Raw genomic sequence first — 26191 nt, forward strand, 5'->3', positions numbered from 1 at the left:
TCTATGTCCTATTTTATTAGAATTAATAATAATATAATGTATTGTCAATTTTCTCCCTAAATTGAATATATTTCTCTACAGTTTTCTCAAGAGGGATTTGCAGAGACAGGATGCTATGAAATTACCTCTCCCATGCCCTCCACAGTACTAAGACTGAGGTACCTGTCTACATCAAAAGATGAGTACTACAATGCAGATGACTTAGCCAGGTGATTCTTTACCTTTACACCATCTCCTATTATAAGCTGAATTGTCCCCTTCCCCAAATTCATATATTGAGTTTCTAACATTCAGCTCCTCATTTAAAGACAAGATTTTTTAAAAGGTGATTAAAGTAAAATGAGGTCACTGATGTGGGCCTAATCCAATAGGACTGATATTCTTAGAAGAAAAAAGATTAAGACACAGACAGAAGAAAGACCATGTAAAGGCACAAGGAGAAGACAGCCATTTACAAGCCAAGAAGAGAGGTCTCTGAAAAACCAACCCTGCTGGCACCTTGCTCTTGGACTTCTGGCCTCCAGATTTATGAGGAAGTAAATTTCTGTTGTTCAAGCAACCTGAATTGGTTTACTTTCAAATGGCAGCCCCAACAAACTGATAGGTCCGCAGAGTTCTTTTTCTTTCCACGATGTAAACATTTTAAATTCATTTTTTTCAGAAAGCATTACTTCCACCTCAATTTTGAGTTCCAGTAAACAAAACTTAAACATCAAATGGTGATAAACAGTATAAACTTGCATCTAATACATGATAAACAAATATTAGCAATAACTTTTATTAGCTGGGCCAATGGCTTGCTCTTTCTCCGTCATTAAAGTGTCCCCAGTATATCCTCTTTTCTCCTGTTTTCTTCAAAGCCAGACAAATTGGCTCCACTTTCCAGCAAAACAGTGGGTCCATCTGTCAGTAGAGTACAAAAAGAACAGAAAATTCCGTACCTCTAACTATATTAATCCATAGCTACATGCAATTTGCACAATCTCAGTGTGCACATATAATAACTCATATCTTACTTTCACTTATATCTATAAATCATGGTGTCAGGGGAAGCAGACACGAGTAAACCAAAACAGATAAAGATATGTACTCACACATAAATTAAAATTCAAAAATAACTTTTTGATTAAATAGTTCATAATTTGGAAACCTCTTTACTCAGTTTTGATTGTAAAACATAGGGATATCTCAAATAAATTGAGATCTCTATCATTCTCCTATTCATTTGTCATATTTTCAAAACAAAATTATTGAACACCTAATCTCTGCTTCACATTAGTAAATAAAAATAGATAAGTCAAGGAATTAGCATTGGGTTGGTCTTAGAGAAAAGCAAAAGAAGTGTAGTACTTGGTCAGGTAACTCTCTGATGTAAAATGTATTTTCCCCCTGTGTGTTTATCTCTCTCTCTGTATGTGTATTTCCCTAACTAGTTGTAGCCATAACATTAGGTAACATGTATAAAATGCTTAGGAAAGCTCCTGGCACAAATTAAGTATTTAATAAACCAAGATAGTTAACTAATTAGCCTATTTAAATTCCAGTTTCTACATCCATGAAAAGAAGAAAAATATATTTATTTGATGCGGATGTTGTCGGGATTGAATGAGATAATGCATGTAGCCCAAATTTTACATATACAGTTTAATTAATATTAACCCCACCCCCTAAAAAACTGCATATGATATGAACACAGGATGATTTCCACAAATTATGTTAACATCAACTGAAAAATTATTCATTTAATTCTCTTATGCAGTTGATAAACTCTGAAGTCTCAAATATACTTTGAATATAAACAACACTGATTTATCAAGCTTTCTGATTATCCTATGGGATGAGATCCATATCTAATCCTTTAGAAAAGTGAAACTTTGAAAAAGTGTCTAGTTAGTGGTGAAACGGTATTTTGACAAGACAAATTATTTCTTTTTTTGAGGTAAATTTTAATGCTGAATCAGTAGATTTATTGCACTGATTTTTTATTAGTAAAATTATTACATTCAAACTCATGCACAGAGTATTTTACTGAATGACATTCTGTAGTAAGACCTGTTATGAATATTGCCGAGAGACACAGAGTATAATTCCTACTTGAAACTTAAATTATAAAACTCTCAAGGATCTTCTCAAATAACATTGAATAAATCCATGCTGTGTCATTGGAAGGGAAATACTTCCAAAGTATGTTACACTGATTGTCACTGTTAAACATTTTTTTATTTGTGTGTATGTGTAACGGTTGCTTTAAAACTAATTTCAGAATAAATGAAAACCAATACAAAGAATGCTAATCACGAACTTACTTTTACCTTAAAAGTTTTCACAGTTTTTTTTCTCTTTTTTTTTTCAAGTTGGCTGACTAGGGATGTTGGATGCCAGGTCTCCTCAGAAAGATCAAAGTTACAGGTGAATGCCCATGATTTAAATGGAAATCTGAGGGAATGAAGCAAGGACCTGTTGGAGCACCCATGGGAAGAACCTGGGGCACAAAAGAGGAAAGCAGCAAGAGACTGACAGAGATTGTCTCCCTAGAAACCTGGACCACGAAAAGGGTAAGTCATGGCTTCTCTTGTCTCCTCACCTGTGTGACAATCTGATGTTCTCCGAAGTGTTGGGGAGCCCCTCTGCCCTCACAATCCAGACAAGGATGTCAGTGGTGATTTGGGACCTTGCTAAGGACAATAAATTGGGTGGTCAGTTCATGCAGGTATGCCCATAATCCCCTCAGACCCAAATTGAAATGGTAGGTGCCACACTGGTTTTACATGCACTGTTCTCCCCAGGGGACTTCAGCCCTTAGGTCGCCACATCACCAGATACCCCACAAATATAGCCCATGACCTGCTTGGTCTTTGGCAACCATATGGTACCAGCAGATCCTTGAGGAGCTGTGGGTTCCTTAAAGATCTAGCCCTCAGTGTGGGCTGCCCTTAGGTAAGAGGGGAGCACAGCCCTCCAACCTGCCCTTGGGACAAAGGAAACATGGACATGGAGTCAATTGATGAAGGGGGTGGCATTGACTGCTAGAAATAGAAATGAGAAAGAGGTTATCTCCTGTTGCCCCCATCCACTGTTGCAGACACAACAGAGCGAAGGATAGGACCCATCTCCTGCTCTTTACATAAGGCAGTAGCATTCTGTCAATAAAGGGCAGACAAATCACAGAGCTGTCTGTCTGCTCTGGACCCAGGACTTAGCCCCGAACCCTGTTTTGTAGTAGCCACCAGAAGGGCATTTCTTTGGTTCTTGGCTACAGAAAGGAGGCAGAAGTTAATGATTATATGAACTAAAGGTCACAAACCCTGCAACGGGGCCCTGATATGAAAGCAGAGCATGTTCCTCCTTGCCCAGGATAAGTAGCTAGTGCAACACCTCAACCCTGACCCCGAGATCTCAGCATACCCCAACATGCTGATTCCCTCCTTCTCTTATTAGGGTAGTTCCTCCCCTCAATTATCAGGGTCCTGGAGAGTGGGTGGCTCTTACTCTTAAGTGAAACTTACTGCGTGGAATACTGAACTGTACCACCAAATAAAAAGCTGCTGTCTGAAGGGCCCAGTGCTAGTGAATGAGATAAGTTTTATGAGACCTGTGTACTCTCAGCCCTGTGGAAGATAGTGTATCAGCTCATATGTCCAATACATCACTACAGCGAGCAGCATGTGAGAAAACCACAACAGAGAGGGTATCCACAACCAAGAAACCTATATAGAGACTTGGCCCCCTGAAAGCACCCAAAAATGAAGCCAAATAATCATATGCAATACACATCACAGTCATATCCTCAAGGGAAAAAAGAATAAGACATAAAAATTCCATTCAAATGATAGCAAATTACACAAAAAATAAAAGCAACTGCTGCTTCAGATGAGAAGGAATCAGTGTGAAGACACTAGCAGAACAAAAAACCTGAGTGTTGACATCTCTGAAGGAAGACACTAATTCTTCAACAAAGGATCCTAACCAAAATGAAAATTCTAAAATGACAGATACAGAATCCAATAGGAAGCACAATGAGATTCAAGAAAAAATTGAAAATCAAAGCAAAGAAACCGGAAAAATGATTCAGGATATAAAAGAAGAGATTGCTATATTTAATTGAAAAACAAGTAGAAATTCTGGAATTGGAAAATTTACTAAAGAAATTTCAAAATATAGTTGGAAGCTTTACTAAGACTAGACCAAGCAGAAGAAAAATTTTCAGACCTTGAAGATCTGTTTTTTGAATTAACCTAGTCAGACAAAAATAAAGAAAAAAATTGTTTTTAAATAAATAAAACTTTAGAGAAATATGGGATTACCTAAGTTGACCAAAGCTTATAAAGCATTCTTGAGAGAGAAGAAAAAGTAAGCAAATTGAAAAAATGTGTATTTGAGAGAATAATTCAGGAAAATTTCCCTAGTCTTCCCAGAGAGGTAGACACCCAGATACAAGAAATTTAGAGAACACCTGTAAGATAATGTACAAGAAAAACTTCACCAAGACATATGGTCATCAGACTATCAAAGTCAACACTAAAAAAAAAAAAAAATTCTTAAAGGCAGTTAGATAAAAGGGTCAAATCACCTATAAAGGTACACCCATCAAACTAACAGTGGATTTCTCAGCAGAAACCTTACATGCCAGAAGAGATTGTGAGCCTACTTTTAGCCTCCTTAAAGAAAAATAATTCCAGCCAAAATTTTATATCCTGCCAAACTATGCTTAATAAATAAATGAGTAATCAAGTCATTCCCACACAAGGAAATGCTAAGGGCAATTGTCACAACGAGACTGGTCCTACAAAAAATGCTCAGAGTAGTTCTAAATATGGAAGTGAAAAGATGATACTTGCTACAATAAAAGCACTCATAAATACAAAGTACACATACCCTATAAAGCAAATACACTATTGAGACTACAAAGCAACTACCTAAAAACACTATGACAGGAACAAAACCTCACATGTCAATATTAACTTTGAATGTAAATGGCCTAAATGCTCCACTTAAAAGATGTAGATTGGCAAATTGGATAAAAATAAAAACCCAACCATCTGCTGCCCTCAAAGGACCCTTAATGAATAATGACACCCACAGGCTCAAAGTAAGAGAAAAATATGTTATGCAAATGGAAAACCAAAAAGACCAGGCATTGTTATTGTTTTACTATATAAAACATACTTTAAATCAACAACAGTAAAACAAAACAAAACAAAACGTAACAAAACAAATTAAAGAAGGGCATTATATAATGATAAAGGGGTTAATTCAACAAGAACATTTAACTATCTTAAATATATACACAGCCATCACCAGAGCACACAGATTTATTAAAGAAACAGTACTAGACCTAAGAAAAAGAGATAGATAGCTATATACTATAGTGTGGGAATTCAACACCCCAGTGACAACACTAAACAGATCTTTGAAGTAGAAAACTAACAAAGAAACTCCGGATATAAATTAAACTCTTGAGCAAATTGACCTAATATATATCTATAGAACATTCTACTCACCAACTGCAGAATATACATTTTTCTCATCTGTGCATGAAACATTCTCCAAAATTGACCATATACTTGGTCACAAAGCAAGTCTCAATAAATTCAAAGGAATCAAAATCATATCAAGTATTTTCTTAGACAACAGTGTAAAAAATAGAAATCAATACAAAGAGGAACTCTCAAAACTACACAAGGACATGGAAAATAAACAGGTTGCTCCTGACTGATTTTTGGGTAAACAACAAAATTAAGGCAGAAATCAGAAAAAAAAATTGAAACAAATGAAAATATATACACAGCATCTACACAGTAACCCCTGGGATACAGCGAAAGCAACGTTAAGAGGAATGTGTATAGTGCTAAATGTCTATATTAAGAAGCTGGAAAGATCTCACATTAACACAAAAAAATTAACATTGCACTTCAAGGAACTAGAGAAACAAGAACAAACCAAAGCCAAAGGTAACACAAGAAAATAAATAACAAAGATCAGGGCAGAACTTAATGAAATCGGAACCAAATAAATCATATGATGTATCAACAAAATGTAAAGTTGGTTTTTTGAAAAGGTGGTGGAATTGGGTGATCTGAAAGAGGAGATGTAGTCAGCCAACAAGAAGACCTGGGGAAGAATCTCTCAGGTAGAGGGAGAACAAATGCAAAAGTCTTGAGGTGGGCATTCATGAGTGGCTATGAAGGAAGAAACAGGAGCCAGCGTGCCTAAGAAGAAATAAAATTGATGGACCACTGCCTAGATTAATGAAGAAGAAAAGAGAGAATATTTTAATAAGCTGCACCAGAAATGATACCCATGATGTTACAACTGATACCACAGGCATATATGTAAGATTATCATTGACCATTATGAACATCTCTATGTTCACTAACTAGAAAACCAGGAGAAAAAGGATAAATTGCTAGATACAACCTCCCATGATTGAATCAGGAAGAAATTTAAATCCTGAACATAACAATAATGAGCTATGAAGTTGAATCAGTAATAACAAATCTACTCACTAAAAGAGCCCTGTATTAGATAGACTCACACCTGACTTCTACCAGCTATGCAAGAAAGGTCTAGTACCCATCTTACTGCAAGGGTTCAAAAAAATTGGCAAAGAGGGACTTCCTGATACCAAAATCTGGCAAAGACCCAAGAAAAAAAAGAGGAAACCTCAGGCAGAAATCCCAGATGAACAACCTCCAAAAATTTTCAACAAAATACTAGCAAACTGAATCCAGCTGCACTTCAAAAACATAATTCATCATAATCAAGTGCGTTTTATTCTGGGGATGCAGGGGTGTTTTAATACAGATTAATAAATCTGATACACCACTAAACAGAATTAAAAACAAAAACCATATGATTATCTTAATAGACACAGAAAAAGACACATTTGATAAAATCCAACATCCTTTCATGATAAAAACCTTCAACAAACTAGGCATTGAAGAAACATAACTCAAAATAATAAAAGCTGTATATGACAAACCCACAGCCAGTATCACAGTTAATGGGAAAATGTCAAAAGCATTTTCTCTAAGAATTGGAACAAGAAAAAGATGTTCAGTCTCACCACTCCTAGTCAACATAATATCGAAAGTATTAACCGGAGCAATCAGGCAAGAGGTAAAAATAAAAGGCATCCAAACTGGAAAAGAGGAAGTCAAATTATCTCTGTTTACTGATGACTAGATCTACCTAGAAAACTTTACAAATTTCTCCAAAAGCCTCCCAGACCTGACGAACAATTTCAGTAAACTTTCAGAATACAAAATTAATGCACAGAAATCAGCTGTATTTATATGCACCAAAAATGCTCAAGCTGAGAACCAAATCAAGAATACAATCCCATTTAAAATAGCCACAATAAAATTACCAAGCAATTCATTTAACCAAGGAGGTGAAAAACTTCTACATGGAAAGCTACAAACACTGATTTAAAAAATTGTAAATGACACAGACAAATGGAAAAACATCCCATGCTCATGGATAGGAAGAATCAATATTATTAAAATAAATATACTGTTCAAAACAATCTAAAAATTCAAAGCTATTACTATCTAATTCCAATGCCACTGTCAATTCCAAATTAGTAATGAACATAGATGCATGACTGCCCTTCTTAATCTGAGTCATTTACCAGTAATACTGTCATTCTTTTTACTTTCCCCTTAAGCATTTTTCTTAAGCTTTAAATAAGCTAAATTAATCCTGCTTCCCCCAAAGCCATTGTCTGCAATATACTCATGTATTTAGAATGATCATCCCAAGGAATCCCACCTGTTTTGTCTGCTAGTGACATTTTAAAACTCACTCTGAGTGTATCTTCTTGAGATTCTTTTACCCACCACAATTATTTCTCCACTCACTTGATTAAAAAAATAGAGCAAGTTAAGGGCCTTGCATTACTTAATATATTACAGGCTTCATATATAAATGCACTCCCACTATTGGATTCCTACCTCTTACTTTGTCCTCTGTGCCCTTACTATTTTGTAGGGACCCATGAAATTGTACACTTTATTATCATCACCAGAGTTTTTTTGTTTTTTTTAATTTTTATTTCTTTTTTGAGACAGAGTCTCACTCTGTCGCCCAGGCTGGAGTGCAGTAGCGTGATCTCGGCTCACTGCAAGCTCCGCCTCCCGGGTTCACTCGCCATTCTCCCGCCTCAGCCTCCCGAGTAGCTGAGACTACAGGCACCCACCACCACGCCCGGCTAATTTTTGTATTTTTAGTAGAGATGGGGTTTCAACCTGTTATCCAGGATGGTCTCGATCTCCTGACCTCGTGATCCGCCCGCCTCAGCCTTCCAAAGTGCTGGGATTACAAGCATGAGCCACCGCGCCCGGCCTATCATCACCAGACTTTTAATTGTCAAAGGCAAATTGTCTAATTTGCTTGTTCCACAGCATATTAGTCCATTTTCATGCATCTGATAAAGACATACCTGAGACTGGGAAGAAAAAGAGATTTAATGGACTTACAGTTCCTCATGGCTGGGGAGGCCTCATATGGTGGAAGGCAAGGAAGAGCAAGTCAGGTCTTACACGGATGGTGGCAGGCAAAGAGAGAGAGCTTGAGGAGCTCTCTTGAGACTTATTCACTATCATAAGAAAGACCCGCCCCCATGATTCAATTACCTCCCACTGGGTCCTTCCCAGTACATGTGGGAATTGTGGGAATTACAATTCAAGATGAGATTTTTGTGGAGATACAGCCAAACTATATCACTCAGTTTAGCACAAAAGAAAGTAAATAGATCCAGAAGAAAATAAGTGGCAAAATTTGTAAAGGGAAAATGCTATGCTGATAATCTATCTTTATCAACTTTATCAAATTGAATTTCTATGGAATAAATTATCCTTTCTAAGTACACAGTTTAGTGAGATTGACAAATGTGTGCAGTCATGTTATCATGACCACAATCAAGATTTAGAATATTTTCATCATCTTAGAAACTTCCCTCATGCCCCTTTGCAGTCAATTATCTGTAGCCTCTTTTGATCCCAAATGCTACTTTGTTTAATGTGATTATAGTTTGGTCTTTTCTAGCATTTCATATTAAGGAGAATATACAGTATCTAGTCTTTTTGGGCTTGGCTTATTTTACTTAGCATCATGTTTTTGAGATTCATCTATGTTGTGGTGTGTATTAGTAGTTTGTTCCATGTAACTGTTGAGTAGTGTTCCTTTGTATGGATACATCAAAGTTTACTTATCTACTCACCAGTTTGAGGCAATTATGAATAATACTGCTTTGAAATAAAGACCAGTCTTTGTGTGGGCATACGTTTTTATTTCTCTTGAGTAGATAACTAGGAGGGAACTGTATATCAAGTATGCATTTACCTAAAAACAACTAATAAACAAAAGAAAACATAAGAATAGTCAAAAGGTATTTTAAAAGATGCTAAACATCACCAATCATCAGGGAAATGCAACTCAAAGCCACACTGAGATATCTCCTCACATGTTTTAGCATGGCTGTTATCAAAGACACAAAAGATAACAAGTGTTGAGAATGTGGAGAAAATGGTACAATGGTATACTTGTGCATCAGTGTTGGTGCATATATATTCATAATTATATCCTCCTGCTGAATTGACCCCTTCATCATTTTATAGTGACCTATTTGTCTCATCTTATACTTTTTATCTTGAGATCTATTTTGTGTAAAATAAGCATAGCTACTCCTACTACTTTTTGTTTTCTATTGGCATGGAATGTTTCTCAATTTGTTTATTTTCAGTCTATGTATGTCTTTATAGCTGAAGTGTGGTCGTTGTAGGCAAGAGATCACTTTTCCATTTGGCCACTCAATGTCTTGTGATTTGAGAATTTAGTCAGTTTTTATTAATCGTTATTATTGATAAGTAGGGACTTACTCCTGTCGTTTTGTTATTTGTTTTCTGGTTGTTTTTTAATCTTCTCTTCCATCTTTCTTTCCTTCTTTCCTTCCTTCCTTCCTTCCTTCCTTCCTGTCTTCCTTTTATGTTTGTATTTTTTTTCCTGTCTTCCTTTTAGGGGAGGCATTTTTCTCTGCTGGTGTGTTTTAACTTCTGACTTTTTATTTTTTGTGTATCTATTGCATGTTTTTAGATTTGAAGCTTGCACTTATCTTATAGCCCATTATTTTAAAATGAGGCAACGTAATAGTGATTGCACAAATTACCATATAAGCAAAGAGAAAACTAATAAAACCTCTACACTTTAAGTTTGTCTCCTCACTTTTTATATTTTTGTTGTTTTTATTTATATATTACTATGCTGTCTATGCATTGGAAATTGTAGTTATTATTTTTAATGAATTCATCTTTTCATCTTTCTACTTAAGATAGGAGTAATTTATACACCACACTTACATCTTTATAATATTTTGTGTTTTCTGTATACTCACTATTCACAGATAGTTTTGCACCTTCAGAAGATTTCTTATTGCTCATTCACATCTTTTTCTTCGGATTGAATAAGTCTCTTTAGCATATTTTTGTAGGACAGATCTGGTGTTGATCAAATCTCTTAGCTTTTATTTGTTTTGTAAAGTGTTTATTTCACCTTCATGTTTTAAGGATATTTTTCCCAGATATACAAATTCTAGGGTAACCGTTTTTTCCTTCAGAACTTTATGTCATTACTCTCTCTCCTGGCCTGTAAGGTTTTCACTGAAAAGTCTGCTGTAGGTTGTATTGAAGCCCCATTTTATGTTATTTATTTCTTTTCTCTTGCTGCTTTGAGGATCCATCCTTCATCCTTTGGGGATTTGATTATTAAATGCCTTCAGGTAGTTTTCTTTGTGTTAAATTTGCTAGGTGTTCTTTAACCTTCCTGTACTTGAACACTGTTATTTTTCTCTAGGGTTGAGAAGTTCTCTGTTATTGTCCTTTTGAATATAAGTTTTAGCTCTCTCTACCTCCTCTTTAAGGCCAATAACTCTTAAATTTGCCCCTTTGAGGCTATTTTCTAGATTTTCAAGGTGTGCTTTATTCCATTGTATTATTTTTTGTTTTGTCTTCTCCAACTGTGTATTTTCATATAGTGTATCTTCAAGATCACTTATTTCTTCTGCTTGATCAATTTTGCTATTAAGAGAATCTGATGCATTCTTCAGCATGTCAGTTGCATTTTCTTTCTTTTTTAAGTTTTTTTCTTTGAGAAATGGTCTTACTGTCTCACCCAGGCTGGAGTGCAGTGGCATGATGAGGCTTATTGCAGCCTCTACCTCCCAGGCTCAAGTGATCCTCCCAGCTCAGCCTCCCAAGTAGCTGGGACTGCAGGCGTGTACCACCACACTCGGCTAATTTTTTATATTTTTTTTGTAGAGATAGAGCTTCACCATGTTGCCCAGGTTGTTCTCAAACTTCTGTGCTCAAGCAATTCATCTGCCTTGGGCTTCCAAAGTGTTGGGATTGTAGGCATGAGGCACTGTGCCTGGCCATCGATTGCATTTTCAACTCCAGAATTTTTGTTTGGTTCTTTCTAATTATTTCAATCTCTTTATAAAATTTTTCTAATAGAATTCTGAATTCCTTCTCTGTGTTATCTTGAATTTCTTTGAGCTTCCTCAGCACACCTATTTTGAATTCTCTCTCTGAAAGGTCACACATTTCTGCTTCTCCAGGATTGGTCCCTCGTGCCTTATTTACTTCATTTGGTGAGGTCATGTTTTCCTGGATAGTCTTGATGTTTGTGGATGTTCGTTGGTGTGTGGGCATTGAAAAGCTAGGTATTTATTGTAGTCTTTGCAGTCTGGGCTTGTTTGTACCCATTCTTCTTGGGAAGGCTTCCCAGGTATTTGAAGGAACTTGGGGGTTGTGATCTCAGTTTTTGGTCACTGCAGCCTTATCTGCATTAAGGGATACCCCACAGTAGGCAATGCTGTGGTTCTTGCGGATTGTAGAGGTATTGCCTTGGTGGTCTTGGATAAAATCCAGAAGAATTCCCTGGATTACCAGACAGAGACTCTTGTTCTCTTTCCTACCTCCTCCCAAACAGAGTTTCTGTGAGCTGAGCGCCTGGAGATGCCGGAGGGTTGACACAACCACCCCAGTGGTCACCACCACTGGGGCTGCACTCGGTCAGACCTGAAGCCTGCACAGAACTGGATCTCACCCCAAGCTCACTGTAACTATTACCTGGCCACCGCCTATGTTTGCTTAAGGTCCTAGGGCTATATAATCAGCAGGCTCTATCATTAGCCAGTCTTGTTCTCTTCTTTTGAAGAGAGGGGTCTACAGGCAGGTCCAGAGATGCTCTCTGGGAGCCAGGGTCTGGAGTCAGAAACCTTAGAAATCTACCTGGTACTCTATTCTAGTGCATCTGAGCTGGCACCAAAACAACAAGACAAAGTCCTTCCCACTCTCCCATCTCCTTTCCCCAGGCAGAGGAGTGTTTTCCATGTCCAACCACCACAGGCCTTTGTGGAGTCCTGCCAGGGTATTGTCAGTGTTCACATAAGGCCCAAAGACTCTTTAGTCAGCTTGTAGTCAGCAAGTGATAAATCCTGCTAGGACTGTGTTCTTCCCATCAGGGCAGTGGGTTCCCTTCTGGCCCAAGGTGTATCTAAAAATACTGTCCAGAAGCTAGGGGCTGGGATGTGGGCCTCGCAACTCTGCTTTGTACCCTATTCTAGTGTGGCTGAACTGGTATTCAAGCGGCAAAACAAAATCCTCCTTAATTTTATCTCACCTTTCCTCAAGCAGAAGGAAGGACTCTCCTTTGGAGCTGTAAGCTGTGGTGCCTTGGGTTGAGGAAGGGGTGGTACAAGCACTCCCCTGGCCACCCTTGCTGTGTCTCACTAGATCATGTGACTCCCAAGTCCACTGGCTCCAAGCACAGCACAGCACTAGGACATGCCTAGGAGTTGCAGTCCCTGTGGCCTAGACTCCCTTTCAAGTTTATTTAGAGCCCAGACTAATTTAGCCCATGGTGGCCAGCGTTGCTGATACTGAAGTTCTGACTACTGGGATGAGCAATTCTCCTCTTGATAGGGCTGTTCTAAATGTTCCCTCCATGGGCATCAGCTGAGTTCTGCCCAGCACTGTGGGCCTCTGTATTAGCAGCACTGTATTCCCACGCAATGTCCCACAGGTGCACAGAATTTCTGTCAGCACCATGTGGCCACTGCCTAGGGATGGGGAAAGGGTGATGTCAGCAATTCAAGACTGTCTTTCCTACCCTTTTCAGTACCTCTTTAAGCAATATGAAGTTACACCCAGGTGCTGTGATTGCTTACCTGATTTTTGGTTCTCATGAAGGTGTTTTCTTGTGTAGATAGATGTTAAATTTGGTGTTCTGGTGGGGAGGACAATTGATGGAGGCTTCTATTCAGCCATTGCGTTAGTCTCTTCCCACACTGCTATAAAGACATACCTGAGACTAAGTAATTTATAAAGAAAAGAGATTTAGTTGACTCACAGTTCTGCATTGCTGGGGAGGCCTCAGGAGGCTTACAATCATGGTGGAAGGCGAAGGGGAAGCAAGAGAGTGAAGGGGGAAGTGCTTCACTTTTAAAGTATCAGATCTTGTCAGAACTCACTCACTATCATGAGAACAGCAAGAGGGAAATCTGCCCTCGTGATCCGATCACCTCCCACCATGCCCTTCCTATAACATATGGGGATTACAATTTGAGATGAGATTTGGATGGGGACACAGGGCCAAACCATATCAACCATCTCATTCTGCCTCTTGCCTCCACTTCTTACTTTTCAAATTTGCTCTCTTTGTTTTCTGAAACCACATTATCTGGGTTTCTTTCTGATCTCCTGGGCCCTTCTTAGTCTTCTTTAATGCATTTTGTTCTTTTTTCTGAATTACAATGTTGGGGTATCCTTAAGTTCAGTCTTAATCTCTGCCTCTCTATCCACAATCCTTCACTATCAGAAAATAACTAAGTTATTTGTACATTGTACAGTGTACAAACATTTGTACATTGGCAACTCACACATTTCTGCAGCCAGATCTGACTCATAATTTAAGTGGCAGATATTTTTAGCACTCTCTTGATATAACCACTCAAATAACCGCTCTGTATCTCAAACTTTACATATTCAAAGAAAAATTTTGGTTTCTACTTTTGTAATGCTGTTATTTTCCCAAGGTTGTCCCCCCAATAATTACATAATACTTTACTACATATTAGATCATTAATTATCCCTGATATTTTTTCACCTTCACCTCTCTCACAGATTGAATTCATCAGCAATTTCTAGAAGCTTAAAATCCAGAAAACATGCTAAATTCATGCACTTCTGTTCATTTCATACCACTGTCCTTGTTTATATCATTTTCAAAGTACTTCACCTGCTACATAAACTACTTCAATGCCTTCTAACAGATCTGACTGTTCCCACTTCTACCATCTTAATCTATTTATTCTTCATTCAGAGACATCATTATTTTCTAAAGTATCATAATTATTTCATAATTACCCCCAATTAATTTGAGAAACTTCGAAGAAAAAATAACTTGAATTATGTATTATTTTCCTATTTAAGTTTTCCAATTCCAATGAATCTCAACAAGAAAAGTCAGTAATAAAATACTTGTCCTATAATAGGCAATCTCAAAAATTAATTATAAAATAATGTCAAGTTGATGCATTCCTGTCAAAGAAGACTATAAGGAAATATTTGGAAATTCATATTCTATTAAGCTATTTTATTAAGTATAGTATATAATGTTATTTTCTTTTGATTTGTGATGACAATATTTGAACACTAGAAATCATGATTCAGTTGAAAATTTTCTTTTCAATAAATACTTATCCATGTTTTGCCCAAAATGTTATAGCATGACTTTGACAGAAATCCCTTGGGAACATATCAGATATATATATATATATATATAACTCACTTTTCCACAGATAAAACAGTTATGTAAAAACAATTGTTTTTATTTTAATGGTAAGGTTTATTAGAGTTAGAATTTTTATATTACCATGGTGTGAAAATGTTGTTTTTACTTTAACCAAAATGTCAGAGTGTTTCATGAAATTGAACCAATAATGTGTGAACTGTGATAGCTATGGAAAACTAGTTCTTGGGCTGCTAAGGACCATTCTTCTGTCCTTTCAAAAAGGTAAACTACTTCATTGTATACGCCAGGTTTTTATCAAAATTCTTTGCTCCATTTATAACTTTAGCAGAATTATATTTAGAAGGGTACTTTGCCTGAATCTTACCTTCATCCCTAGAAAAATCAGCACATGGGTGCTCATGTGCTCTGCCTGTTTTTTAGAGATGATAAATGTGAGGTGCAACAACTTGCCCCTAAAATTAGAAAGCACACTCCAGACCACTGGACCACAAGCATCTTCGTGGATGTAAAAGAACTTGACTCTTCACCAGTTTTCATCTCCTCTTTGGGAAACATTTGCCTAAACAGAGCCTCCAGGATACTTGTTACTTCCAGCCCAATATAATTACAATTAGTAAAGTATCACCAATTCAATAGTACAATATTCTGTGGAATGCAAGATAATAATGTGCCCAGCAGACTAATTTATGGTAAAGAGCAGGAGAATAAATATTGTCCTGGGGCAATACAGATAATGTGCATTGTCCTGTAAAGACAAACAGGTTTTTATTGTTTTTATTGATGGGGACTGAAGAGAATACATGTGTTAGATCAATAATGACATTACAAATGATAAAGGCTGTGTTGATCTGCTCTGGTAAACACACAACATCCAGCATGGTGGTTTAGGATTATCATAGCCCATTGTCATCTGCCGCAATCCATCTGGTTTTCAAAAGAGAGGCGAGACAACCTATTTTTTAAGTCTTTTAATAAGTTAAGTTGCATTAACTTCTGCAACTCTTTCCAGAATGTGATTTTTTAAAAAATTACTATTTATTCTAGTGGTACAATCCTTCTTGGAACCATTTGTAATTAGGTTCCTTTATAGCCCTGTCGGATCCTGGACTAAATTTTCAGTGCAGTCTTTTCTGTGGCTATAAGAGACAATATATTAGAGTCTGCCCCTAAAATCCATGGATAAGAACTATTGACTTTTCACAGTATGAAATGAGTTGCCCAGTGGCTTTTCTAAGCCCACCTTGTCATTTTGCAAAAATTTCAATGTCATTTCAATTGTCATTGCATTTCAATTCAAAGCTACTGACTTTTCACAGTATGAAATGAGTTGCCCAGTGGCTTTTCCAAGCCAACCTTGTCGTTTTGCAAAAATTTCAATGTCGTTTACAGAAGCCAACCATCTCTAAAATCCATATAATTATCATTGCCATCACACAAGTCAACTGCAACAACCACTGCTCTTTCCAACACTTCAGCTTCTGCCTGCACCCTCTCCCAATTAAACATGTTAAAGCCTCAGTAGCTTTATTGCCACTTTATGACAGAGATTATCACCATCTCACCTCTATAAGCCAATGGTGTCCACATTACCATCAGTCCATTGAATTATTCCACTCTAAAGTCCTATTGAAAGTAACTATTGTTAAAGGTGAATTTATTAACAACTGTCCTAACTGGTGTTGTTAGAAAGAAAAACGTATTTTCTCCTACACCCATTAGCCAAACTCACTCCTTTGAAGCACTAACTGTGCATTAGGGTGCTGAATAGAACCAGGGAATTTTAGAGCTTAGGAGGCAGAAGATATGACATGTGCAAGGCAAGGAACTGTGGGGTTTATACACATAGGTGGAGATCACCTAGAGTTGAAATATATATCAGTTACTGCAGTGAAAACAAAATTACTGAGGATCTCACGGACAGAAGCCGAGAGATTCTGAGGTGGCCCAGTAAAAGTTTTCTGATACATATACTACTCAACAGATTTTAAAATCTCAATCAATCACAATCAAGATAAGTGAAAAGAAATATACATTTGGAAATAGTAAAGTAAAAAAGCACAGATAAAAAAGAAAAGATCATAAAGACACCCTGAGAGATAAGGCTGACTACCAAAGAAGGAACAGCCATTAAAAGGACAATTCCATTTCATGGCAGCATAAAATGCCAAATGAGAATGAAATATCATCTTCCATATTTTTAGAGAAAATAAACTGCCCAGCTTTAATTTTAGACATATAAAAGATCTTTTAAGAATGAAAAATACTTTTAGATCAAGCTTAGGGTATTTGCATTATGGTATCTTCAAAAAGGAAATTCTAAGAGATGCTATTTCAGAACACAGAGAAGTATTTTAAAATGGAAGATTTTAGATAGAATAGGAATAGAGAACAAAAATATAGATGTGTTCAAGAATCCAAAGAAATATTGAGGGTAACATAAAATTAGATTGTCCTATGTAAATTGAAAAGCAAAACTAAAATATAAAGCAACAATAGCATATCAGAAGGGGTTGAAAGACAATGTCCTTGTATTATTATATAAAGACAAAAGTCCTATTATTTTACAGATATTGATTAGTTTTAGGCCTAAGTTACTAATAATTACTAAGTTAATTATTTATACTGCAGTTCTTGAGATAACCATTCAAACTAGAAAAATTGTTCATTATTCCAAACCAGGAGAAAAATATTAAAATAAAATTAGTTCAAAAGAATGAAAAAAAAAGAAAAAGAAATGGGAAAATAGAACACGTAAATGAGTTAATAGGTATAAACTCAAATATGTAAAACAATATGATAATTATCAGTAACACAACTAGTATTTCTAGCAAACATATATTATATATAGTCTTCTTCCAAGCAGGGCTTAGACACTCCCTTTGGAGACTGATACTAAATTTCATGTGTAAGTTACATTTAAAACTCAATTGTCTTCCAGTGTTACATAGCAAAATCACTTTTGCCAACAAACACATTCAGTGCTTTAATCTACAGCTGCCTTTCAGTTACATCCATGAAAAAATATACATGTTTAAAAGTGTTTGCCAAACTTGTATATTGAAAATCATACTATACTCTAAATTCAGGATGGTTATTAGACAAAAATAACACACATCTGGATATGCAAGAACTGGAAGTTAAGCATGCATTTAGTTCAATGGTCTAAATAATAATTTTATCACATACTTGGAATAAAGTAATCTCATACTGTCTGAAGGAAGAGCAAACTGGTAATACCTTCCAGAAGGTGATCAGAAAATGGTATAAAAGCCTTTAAAATGTTCGTGCCCTTCGACTTTGCAATCCTTTTATTGGGATTCTACCCCAATATGATAGAGTTACAAACAAACATTTGTAAAGAATACTATATTGTAATATTCAAGAAACTTTGAAAACTAATCATTCATAAATATCTTACACAAGTTGTATTACATAAGCACCATTAAAAGCATGTAAAATTATATCACATTTTAAAAATATTTAACTATTTAAGTTATAAAACATGCTCCAGTGAAGCACCCAGATATATAAAGCAAATATTATTAGAGCTAAAGAGAGGGATAGGCCCAGATACACTATCTATTGGAGACTTCAACCCTCCACTTTCAGCTATGGAAAGATCTTCCAGACAGAAAATCAACAAAGAAACATTGGACTTAACCTGCACTATAGGCCAAATGGATCTAATAGGTATTTAAAGAACATTTCATCCAACAGCTACAAAGTATACAATGTTTTCCTCATCACATGTATCATCCCTAAGTATAGGTGTTAAGATGTTAGGTCATGAAACAAGTCTTAAAACATTCAAAAAAAAAAAAAAAAAAAACAGAAATAGCATCAAGCATCTTCTCTGACCCCAATGGAATAAAACTAGAAATTAATTACAAGAGGAATTTTGGAAACTATAAAAATACATGGAAATCAAACAATATGCTTCCGAATAACCAGTGGGTCAATGAAGAAATCAAGAAACAAATTGAAAAAATTTATTGCAACAAATAGTAATGAAAACATACTAAAACCTTTGAATTTCTGTAGTTTCAGTTGTAATGGGATATGGCAAAAGCAAAACTAAGAGGAAACTTTATAGCTGTAAGTGTCTACATCAAAAAAGAGAAAAAACATCAAATAAATAATCCAATGGTGCATCTTAAAGAACTACAAAAGCAACAACAAACCAGCCCAAAATTAGTAGAAGGAAAGAAATAATAAAGATCAGAGCAGAAATAAATGAATTTGAAATGAATAAGACAATGCAAAAGATTTATGGCATAAAAAGTTGGTTTTTTGAAAAGATAAACAAAATTGAAAAACCTTTAGCTAGACTAAGAAAAAAGAGAGAAAATACAAAGAAATAAAATTAGAAATGAAAAAGGAGACATTACAACTGATACTACAGGAAATCAAAGCATCATTATGGCTACTATGAGTAACTATATGTCAATAAATTGGAAAATCTAGAAGAAATGGACAGGTTCTTAGATACATACTACTTATAAAGATTGAACCAGGAAGAAATTGAAAACCTGAATAGACCAGTAACAAGTAATGAGATGGAAGCTGTAATAAAAATTCTCCTAGTAAAGAAAAGCCTGGGATCTGATGTCTTCACAGCTGAATTCTAGCAAACATTTGAAGAACTAATACCAATCCTACTCAAGTTACTCTGAAAGATAGAGGAGGAGGAAATACTTACAAACTCATGCTACCAGGCCAGTATTACCCTGCTACCAAAAACCAGACAAAGACACATCATAAAAAAGAAAACTACAGGAAAATATCTCTGATGAATATTGATGTAAAAATCTTCAACAAAATATTAACAAAGTAAATTCAATAATGCATTGCAAAGATCATTTATCATGACCAAGTGGGATTTTCCCTGGAATACAAACATGGTTCAACATACACAAATCAATCAATATTCTACATCATATCAACAGAAAGAATGATAACAATCATGCGATCATTTCAGTTGATGCTAAAAAAGCATCTAATAAAATTCAACATTTTCTTCTTAGTAGAATAAAAGGTCAGAGTATGATAAAAATCCTCAAAAAAATTGGGTATAGGAGGAACATACCTCAAAATAATAAAAGCCCTATATTACAGATCACAACTAGTATTATGCTGAATGAGGAAAAACTGAGAGTCTTTCACTTAAGATCTGGAAAACAACAAGGATACCCACTTTCACCACTGTTATTTCACATAGTACTGGAAGTTCTAGCTAGAGCAGTCAGACGAAAGAAGGAAATAAAGGACATCCAAAATGGATGGAAGACATCAAATTATCCTTGTTTGCAGATGATATAATCTTATATTTGAAAAAACCTAAAGACTTCATACAAAATCTATTAGAACTGGAAAACAAATGCAATGAAGTTGCAGGATGAAAAACTAGCATGCAATAATTCATAAATTCTATATGCCAATAGTGAGCAATTTGAAAAAGAAATAAAGTAATCCCATTTACAATAACCACAAATAAAATTTAATACCTAGGAATTAATTTAATCAAACACATAAAAGCTCTCTATAATGAAAACTATAAAACACTGATCAAATAAATTGAAGAGGATCCCCCAAAACTGATAAATTTTATATGTTCATGGATTGGAAGAATCAATATTATTAAAACGTCCATACTACCCAAAGCAATCTACAGATTCAATGCTATCCCTGTCAAAATACCAATTACATTCTTCAAAGGAATGGAAAAAAAATTCCTAAAATTTATATAGCCAAAGCTATTTTGAGGGAAAAAAAACCTGGAGGAATCACATTACCTGACTTCAAATTATACTACAGAGCTATAGTAATCAAAACAGCATGGTACTGGCATAAAAAGAAACACATAGGCTGATGAAACAGAATAGAGAACCCAGAAACAAATCCACACACTCACAGTAAACTCATTTTTGACAAAGATGCCGAGAACCTATGCTGAAGAAAATACAACCTCTTCATTAAATGGTGCTGGGAAAACTGGATATCAATATGCAGAAGAATGAAACTAGATCCTTATCTCTTGCCGTATACAAAAGTGAAATTAAAATGGATTAAAGACTTAAATTTAAAACCTCAAACTTTGAAACTACTACAAGAAAATATTGGGGACAATCCCCAGGACATTGGTCTGAGCAAAATTTCTTGAGTAATACCTCACAAGCACAGGCAATCAAAGCAAAAATTGACAAATGGTATTACATCAAGTTAAAATGCTTTTGCATAGCAGAGGAAACAATCAACAAAGTGAAGAGACAACAGACAGAATGGGAGATATGTTTGCAAACCACTCATCTCACAAGTGATTAAGAACCAGATATATAAGGAGTTCAAACAATTCCATAGGAAAAAGGTACTAATTAGATTTTAAAAAGGGGCAAAAGAATTGAATGGACATTTCTCAAAGGAAGACATACAAATTGCAAACAGGCATATGAAGAGATATTTAACATCATTAATCATCAAAGAAAAGCCAATCAAAACTACAATGAGATATATTTTCTCCCCAATTAAAATGGCTTATATCCAAAAGGCAGGCAATAAACGCTGGCAAAAATGTGAAGAAAAGTGAATCTTTGTACACTGTTGGTGGAAATGTAAGTTAGTATAACCACTATGGAGAACAGTTTGGGGATTACTGAAAAAACTAAAAATAGAGCTAGCATATGATCCAGCAATCCCACTGCTGAGTATATACCTAAAGAAAGAAAATCAGTTGATTGAAGAGATATCTGCACTCCCTTGTTTGTTGCAGCAGTGTTCACAATAGCTAAGATTTGGAAGCAACCTAAACGTCCATCAACAGATTAATGGATAATGAAAATGTGGTACATATACACAATGGAGCACTATTCAGCCATTAAAAAAAAAAAAGAATGAGATTTGTCATTTGCAACAACATGAATGGAACTGGAGGTCATTGTGTTAAGTGAAAGAAGCCAGGCACAGAAAGACAATCTTCACATGTTCTCATTGATTTGTGGGAGCTAAAAATTAAAACAGTTGAACTCATCAAGATAGAGAGTAGAAGGGTGGTTACCAGAGGCTGGGAACAGAGGGACAAGGGGGTGAGGATGGTTAATGGGTACAAGAAAATAGTTAGAAAGAATGAATAACACTTTGTATTTACTAGTACAACATTGTTACTGTAGTCAATAATAATTTTATTGTATATTTTAAAATAATTAAAACAGTATAATTGGATTATTTGTAACACAAAGGATAAATGCTTGAGGTAATCGATATCCCATTTATCCAGATGTGATTATTATGCATTACATGTCTGTATCAAAATATCTTATGTACCCCATAAGTATATATGCTTATTATGTACACATAAAAATTAAAAATAGTAAAATAAAAATATTTTAAAAATGAAATTCATTTTGGAAAGGAAGAGGTAATGATTTATCTCTACTCATAGATAAGATGACCTTCTATATATAAAATCCTAAGAAATACACACACAAGCATAAGCAAACACACCCCCACAGCTGATTATGTCTAATATGTCTAATAAATTCAGTAAGGCTGCAGAATACATAATTAGCATACAAAAAACAATAATAATTCCCTATACTAACAGTGAAGAATATAAAAATTATGTGAAGAAAACAATTCCATTTCCCATGGCATCAAAAAATAAATAAAACAAAGAAATACATTTAGCAAAAGAAATTCAAGGCTTGTGCAATGAAAATTACAAAATATTGTTGAAGGTGAGAAAATATCTAAACAAACATAAAGCAATTCCGTGTTCAGTGATTGGTCAACTAAATATCATTAAAATTGAAATACTCCACGAACTAATCATATTGTGGATTCAAACAATCCCAAACAAATTCTCATTTTTTTATGTCTGTGGAATGTTAGAAGCTAATACCAAATTTTGTATGGAAATGTAAAGGATGCAGAATATTTTAAACAATCTTTAAAATTAGAACAAAATTAGAAGACATATTTCTCCTAATGTCATAACTTAGGAAAACATTTTCAGTAATAAGGACAGTATGGTACTAGAGTAGAAGAGATATTTACACCAATGGAAAAGAAGTGGCATCAAAAAATAAACACTTATGTTCATAATAAAGGTATTTTTGACAAGGGTACAAAGGCAACTCAAGTGGGAGAGTAATAGTCTTTTAACCATATGGCTGAAATAATTGGTTATCCATGCAAAAAAAAAAAAATGAAGTTGAACTCCTACCTCGCACTATATATAAAAATGAACTTAAAACTGACCGTTGACCTAAATGTGAGTGCTAAAACTATACAAATTAAAACAAAACATAGGAGTAAATCTGTGAGGTTGGGTTAGACAATGGTTTTCTATATATGACACCAAAAGTACAAGTAACCAAAGACAATATATAAATACTTTGGATTTCATCACAATCATTTGCAACAACATGGAAAAACATGGAAGACATTATGCTAATTGAACTAAGCTAGGCACAGACTGACAAATTCCACATGAGCTCATTTAAATGTGGAATCTAAAAATGTTGATGTCATAGAAATAGAGAGTAAAACCGTGGTTACTAGAGATTGAGGTTGTTGGCAGGAATTGAGTGACTAGGAGATGTAGATCCCCGGATACATAATTACAGTTAGAAGAAATAAGTTCAAGAGATGTGTTGCACAAGGTGGCTGTATGGTGACTAAAGTTAATGATGATATATTGTGTTCTTGAAAAATGCATAGACAGTGGATGTAAGCATTATTATCCCCAAACTATAACTATTTGAGGCAATACATTATTAATTAGCTAGATTAAACTATTACATAATATATACATACTTTAAACTATCATGTTGTACATGACAAATACATAACAAAATTTTGCATTTTAAGAACACCATCTGGAAAGTGAAAAGACTGCCCACTTATAATCCCAAAATAGAAACGACTTAAATATGCATCAACTGAAGAAAGGATTAACATATGTTGCATATCCATATATACTGTAGTATACTACAAATGTTATTTGGATATGAAAAGGAATGAAATACTGATACCTATGACAACATGGTTGTACCTAAAGAACATTATGCTAAGTAAAAGAAACCAATCACAAAAGACCACATGATACCATTTATAGTAAAATCTAGAATAGGCTAATCCATCAAAATAGAAAGTACACTATTGGCTGCCTATGACTGGAGAAGTGGGGATTGAGGAGTAATTCATAATGAGTATGGGTTTTCCTTCTGTAGTGATGAAAATATACTAAAATTAGGTAGTGATGATGTTTGTATAACTGAATATACTAAAAAAAGATGAAATGTATACTTTAAACAGATGAATACAAAAGACAAAAGAATTACTAATGGTAATATTCCTGTTTATCTGTGCTTGAAATTAATATAAGCTGAATATTTCAATTTTATGGTAATAAATTTCCATCTTATTTAAGGCGGTTTTGATCAAATTTTCCGTAATTTGCAAAAAAGTGTCCTAAGTTTTTTTGTGCTGCTCATAGACATAAAGGCAGAAACAATAGATACTAGGGGCTTCCAAAAGGAAGAGAGAGGGAGGGGGGCAAGAGTTGAAAAACTACCTACTGGATCCAGTGTTCACTATTTGGGCAGCAGGTTCAGTAGAAGCCCAAATCCCAGCATTACGCATTATACCTATGTAACAAACCTGCACATGTGCTCCATGAATCTATAAGTTTAAAAATGTTTTATGTACTGCATACCTAACTTATATAAAGGCAGTTAGGTAATGCCCCAAGAACAGATATCAGAAGGAAACTAAAAATAAAGTTAAGCCATGCTAGTTTTTAATCCCAATGTTAGCTCCAATTAAGTTTGATAAATTTTTTTAGACTACTGAAACAAGGTACATCAAACTAGATTTTTGTTTTTTTAGCATTTGTGGACCGTTTTTTTTTTCAAAATGCAGTAGCAAAAAAAGAAACAAACAATCCCAAACATCCCTACAGCTTTCATTTATAGGAAAAAAATGCCATTATTTTTTGCAATACACTGTATAAAGATCAATTTACTTTCATGAATGCATTGGTAAGGCTGAAATTATATTTTCATTAATAGAGTTCTAGGCCTGAAGATTTAATATATGCAAGAGAACAGCAATTTTCAATAGCATATCCCTTAAAATTATTGTCACTTTAATGGCTTGAGCTAAACAGAATTATTTAAGTTATAAAAGGCTATTTAGATCATTGATTCAATTAGGGCAATTCACCATGTTGTCATTTTTTTATGAACTCATCAGTATACTTGTCACACAAGGTGAACCAATACAGTAAATGAATCATGCCAAAAATCTCTCTATTAGACAAGTTTCATTATCTGGGACAGAGCAGTTATTTAAATATCATTAAAACAGGCTTAAAAGAGGACTAAAAGTGAGTAAAAAGCTGAAATAGAGCAACACAGAGAGAGAAATAGTGATTTAGTGATTTTAATAACTATAAAATATTTCTTCCTTTGATTTGCTTGGAGAAGAAGTGATAACATATCTTTCTTCATCTATTGGACTTAAAACATAACTTTGATCATAAAGCTATGGGACTTGATAATCTTTCCCGGTATACTACTTTTTTGATATTCTTTATACATTCTACAGGTGGAGAGGAGAAAACTCTGTGCTAAATATTACTCCTGGAAAAGTGCATTTGCTTCGGAGAAATCTTTATCATGGGTCTCTAAGAGGAAGGAACAATAGCATCTTCTATGTGCCGAGGTAGCGCAATAATGAACTCTGTTCAAGTGGATCAAAAGCCATCAAGGTCAAAATTAGGCACAGGTGAGGCAGGACTTTTCTGATAGAATTGTATATTAGTCCATTCTCACATTGCTGTAAGTACTTGGGACTGGGTAATTTATAAAGAACAGAAGTTTAATTGGCTCATGTTTCCACAGGCTGTACAGGAAGCGTGATTCTGGCATCTGTTTGGTTTCTGGGAAGGCCTCAGGAAACTTAAAGTCATGGAAGAAGGGGAAGGGAGAGCAGGCACGTCTTACATGACCAAAGCAGGAAGAAGAGAGAGAAGTGTGGAGGTGCTATACACTTTTAAACAGCCAGATCTTGTGAGAACTCTGTCAGAAGAACAGCACTAGGGAAATGGTGCTAAACCATTCTTGGGGACTCCATCCCTGTGATACAATCACCTCCCACCAGGCCCCACCTCCAACACTGAGAATTACAACTCAACATGAGATTTGGATGGGGACACAGATCCAAACCATATCAAATTTTCACACCTTTCAGTAAAGCTTTATATTTTTTAAGGATATTTAAGTACTTGGAAGTAGAAGTAGAGAGTAAGGGGAATATTGTACAGCCATCACAGCCTTTGTCTACTAAAGAAGTCAGTTTCATGTGACAAATGTTCATT

At 35.2% G+C, this 26191-nt stretch overlaps 1 long non-coding RNA gene across 1 annotated transcript; it reads left to right on the top strand.

Annotated features, from left to right (window-relative positions):
- Positions 1 to 139: 139 nt before the first annotated feature.
- On the top strand, positions 140 to 26191 carry LINC00377 (long intergenic non-protein coding RNA 377). Its single transcript, NR_125770.1, has 4 exons — positions 140 to 209; positions 2355 to 2555; positions 25420 to 25599; positions 25716 to 26191. It is a non-coding gene; the product is annotated as a long intergenic non-protein coding RNA 377 (long non-coding RNA).

Source organism: Homo sapiens, chromosome 13 (genome assembly GCF_000001405.40).
Source record: "Homo sapiens chromosome 13, GRCh38.p14 Primary Assembly".
NCBI lineage: Eukaryota > Metazoa > Chordata > Mammalia > Primates > Hominidae > Homo > Homo sapiens.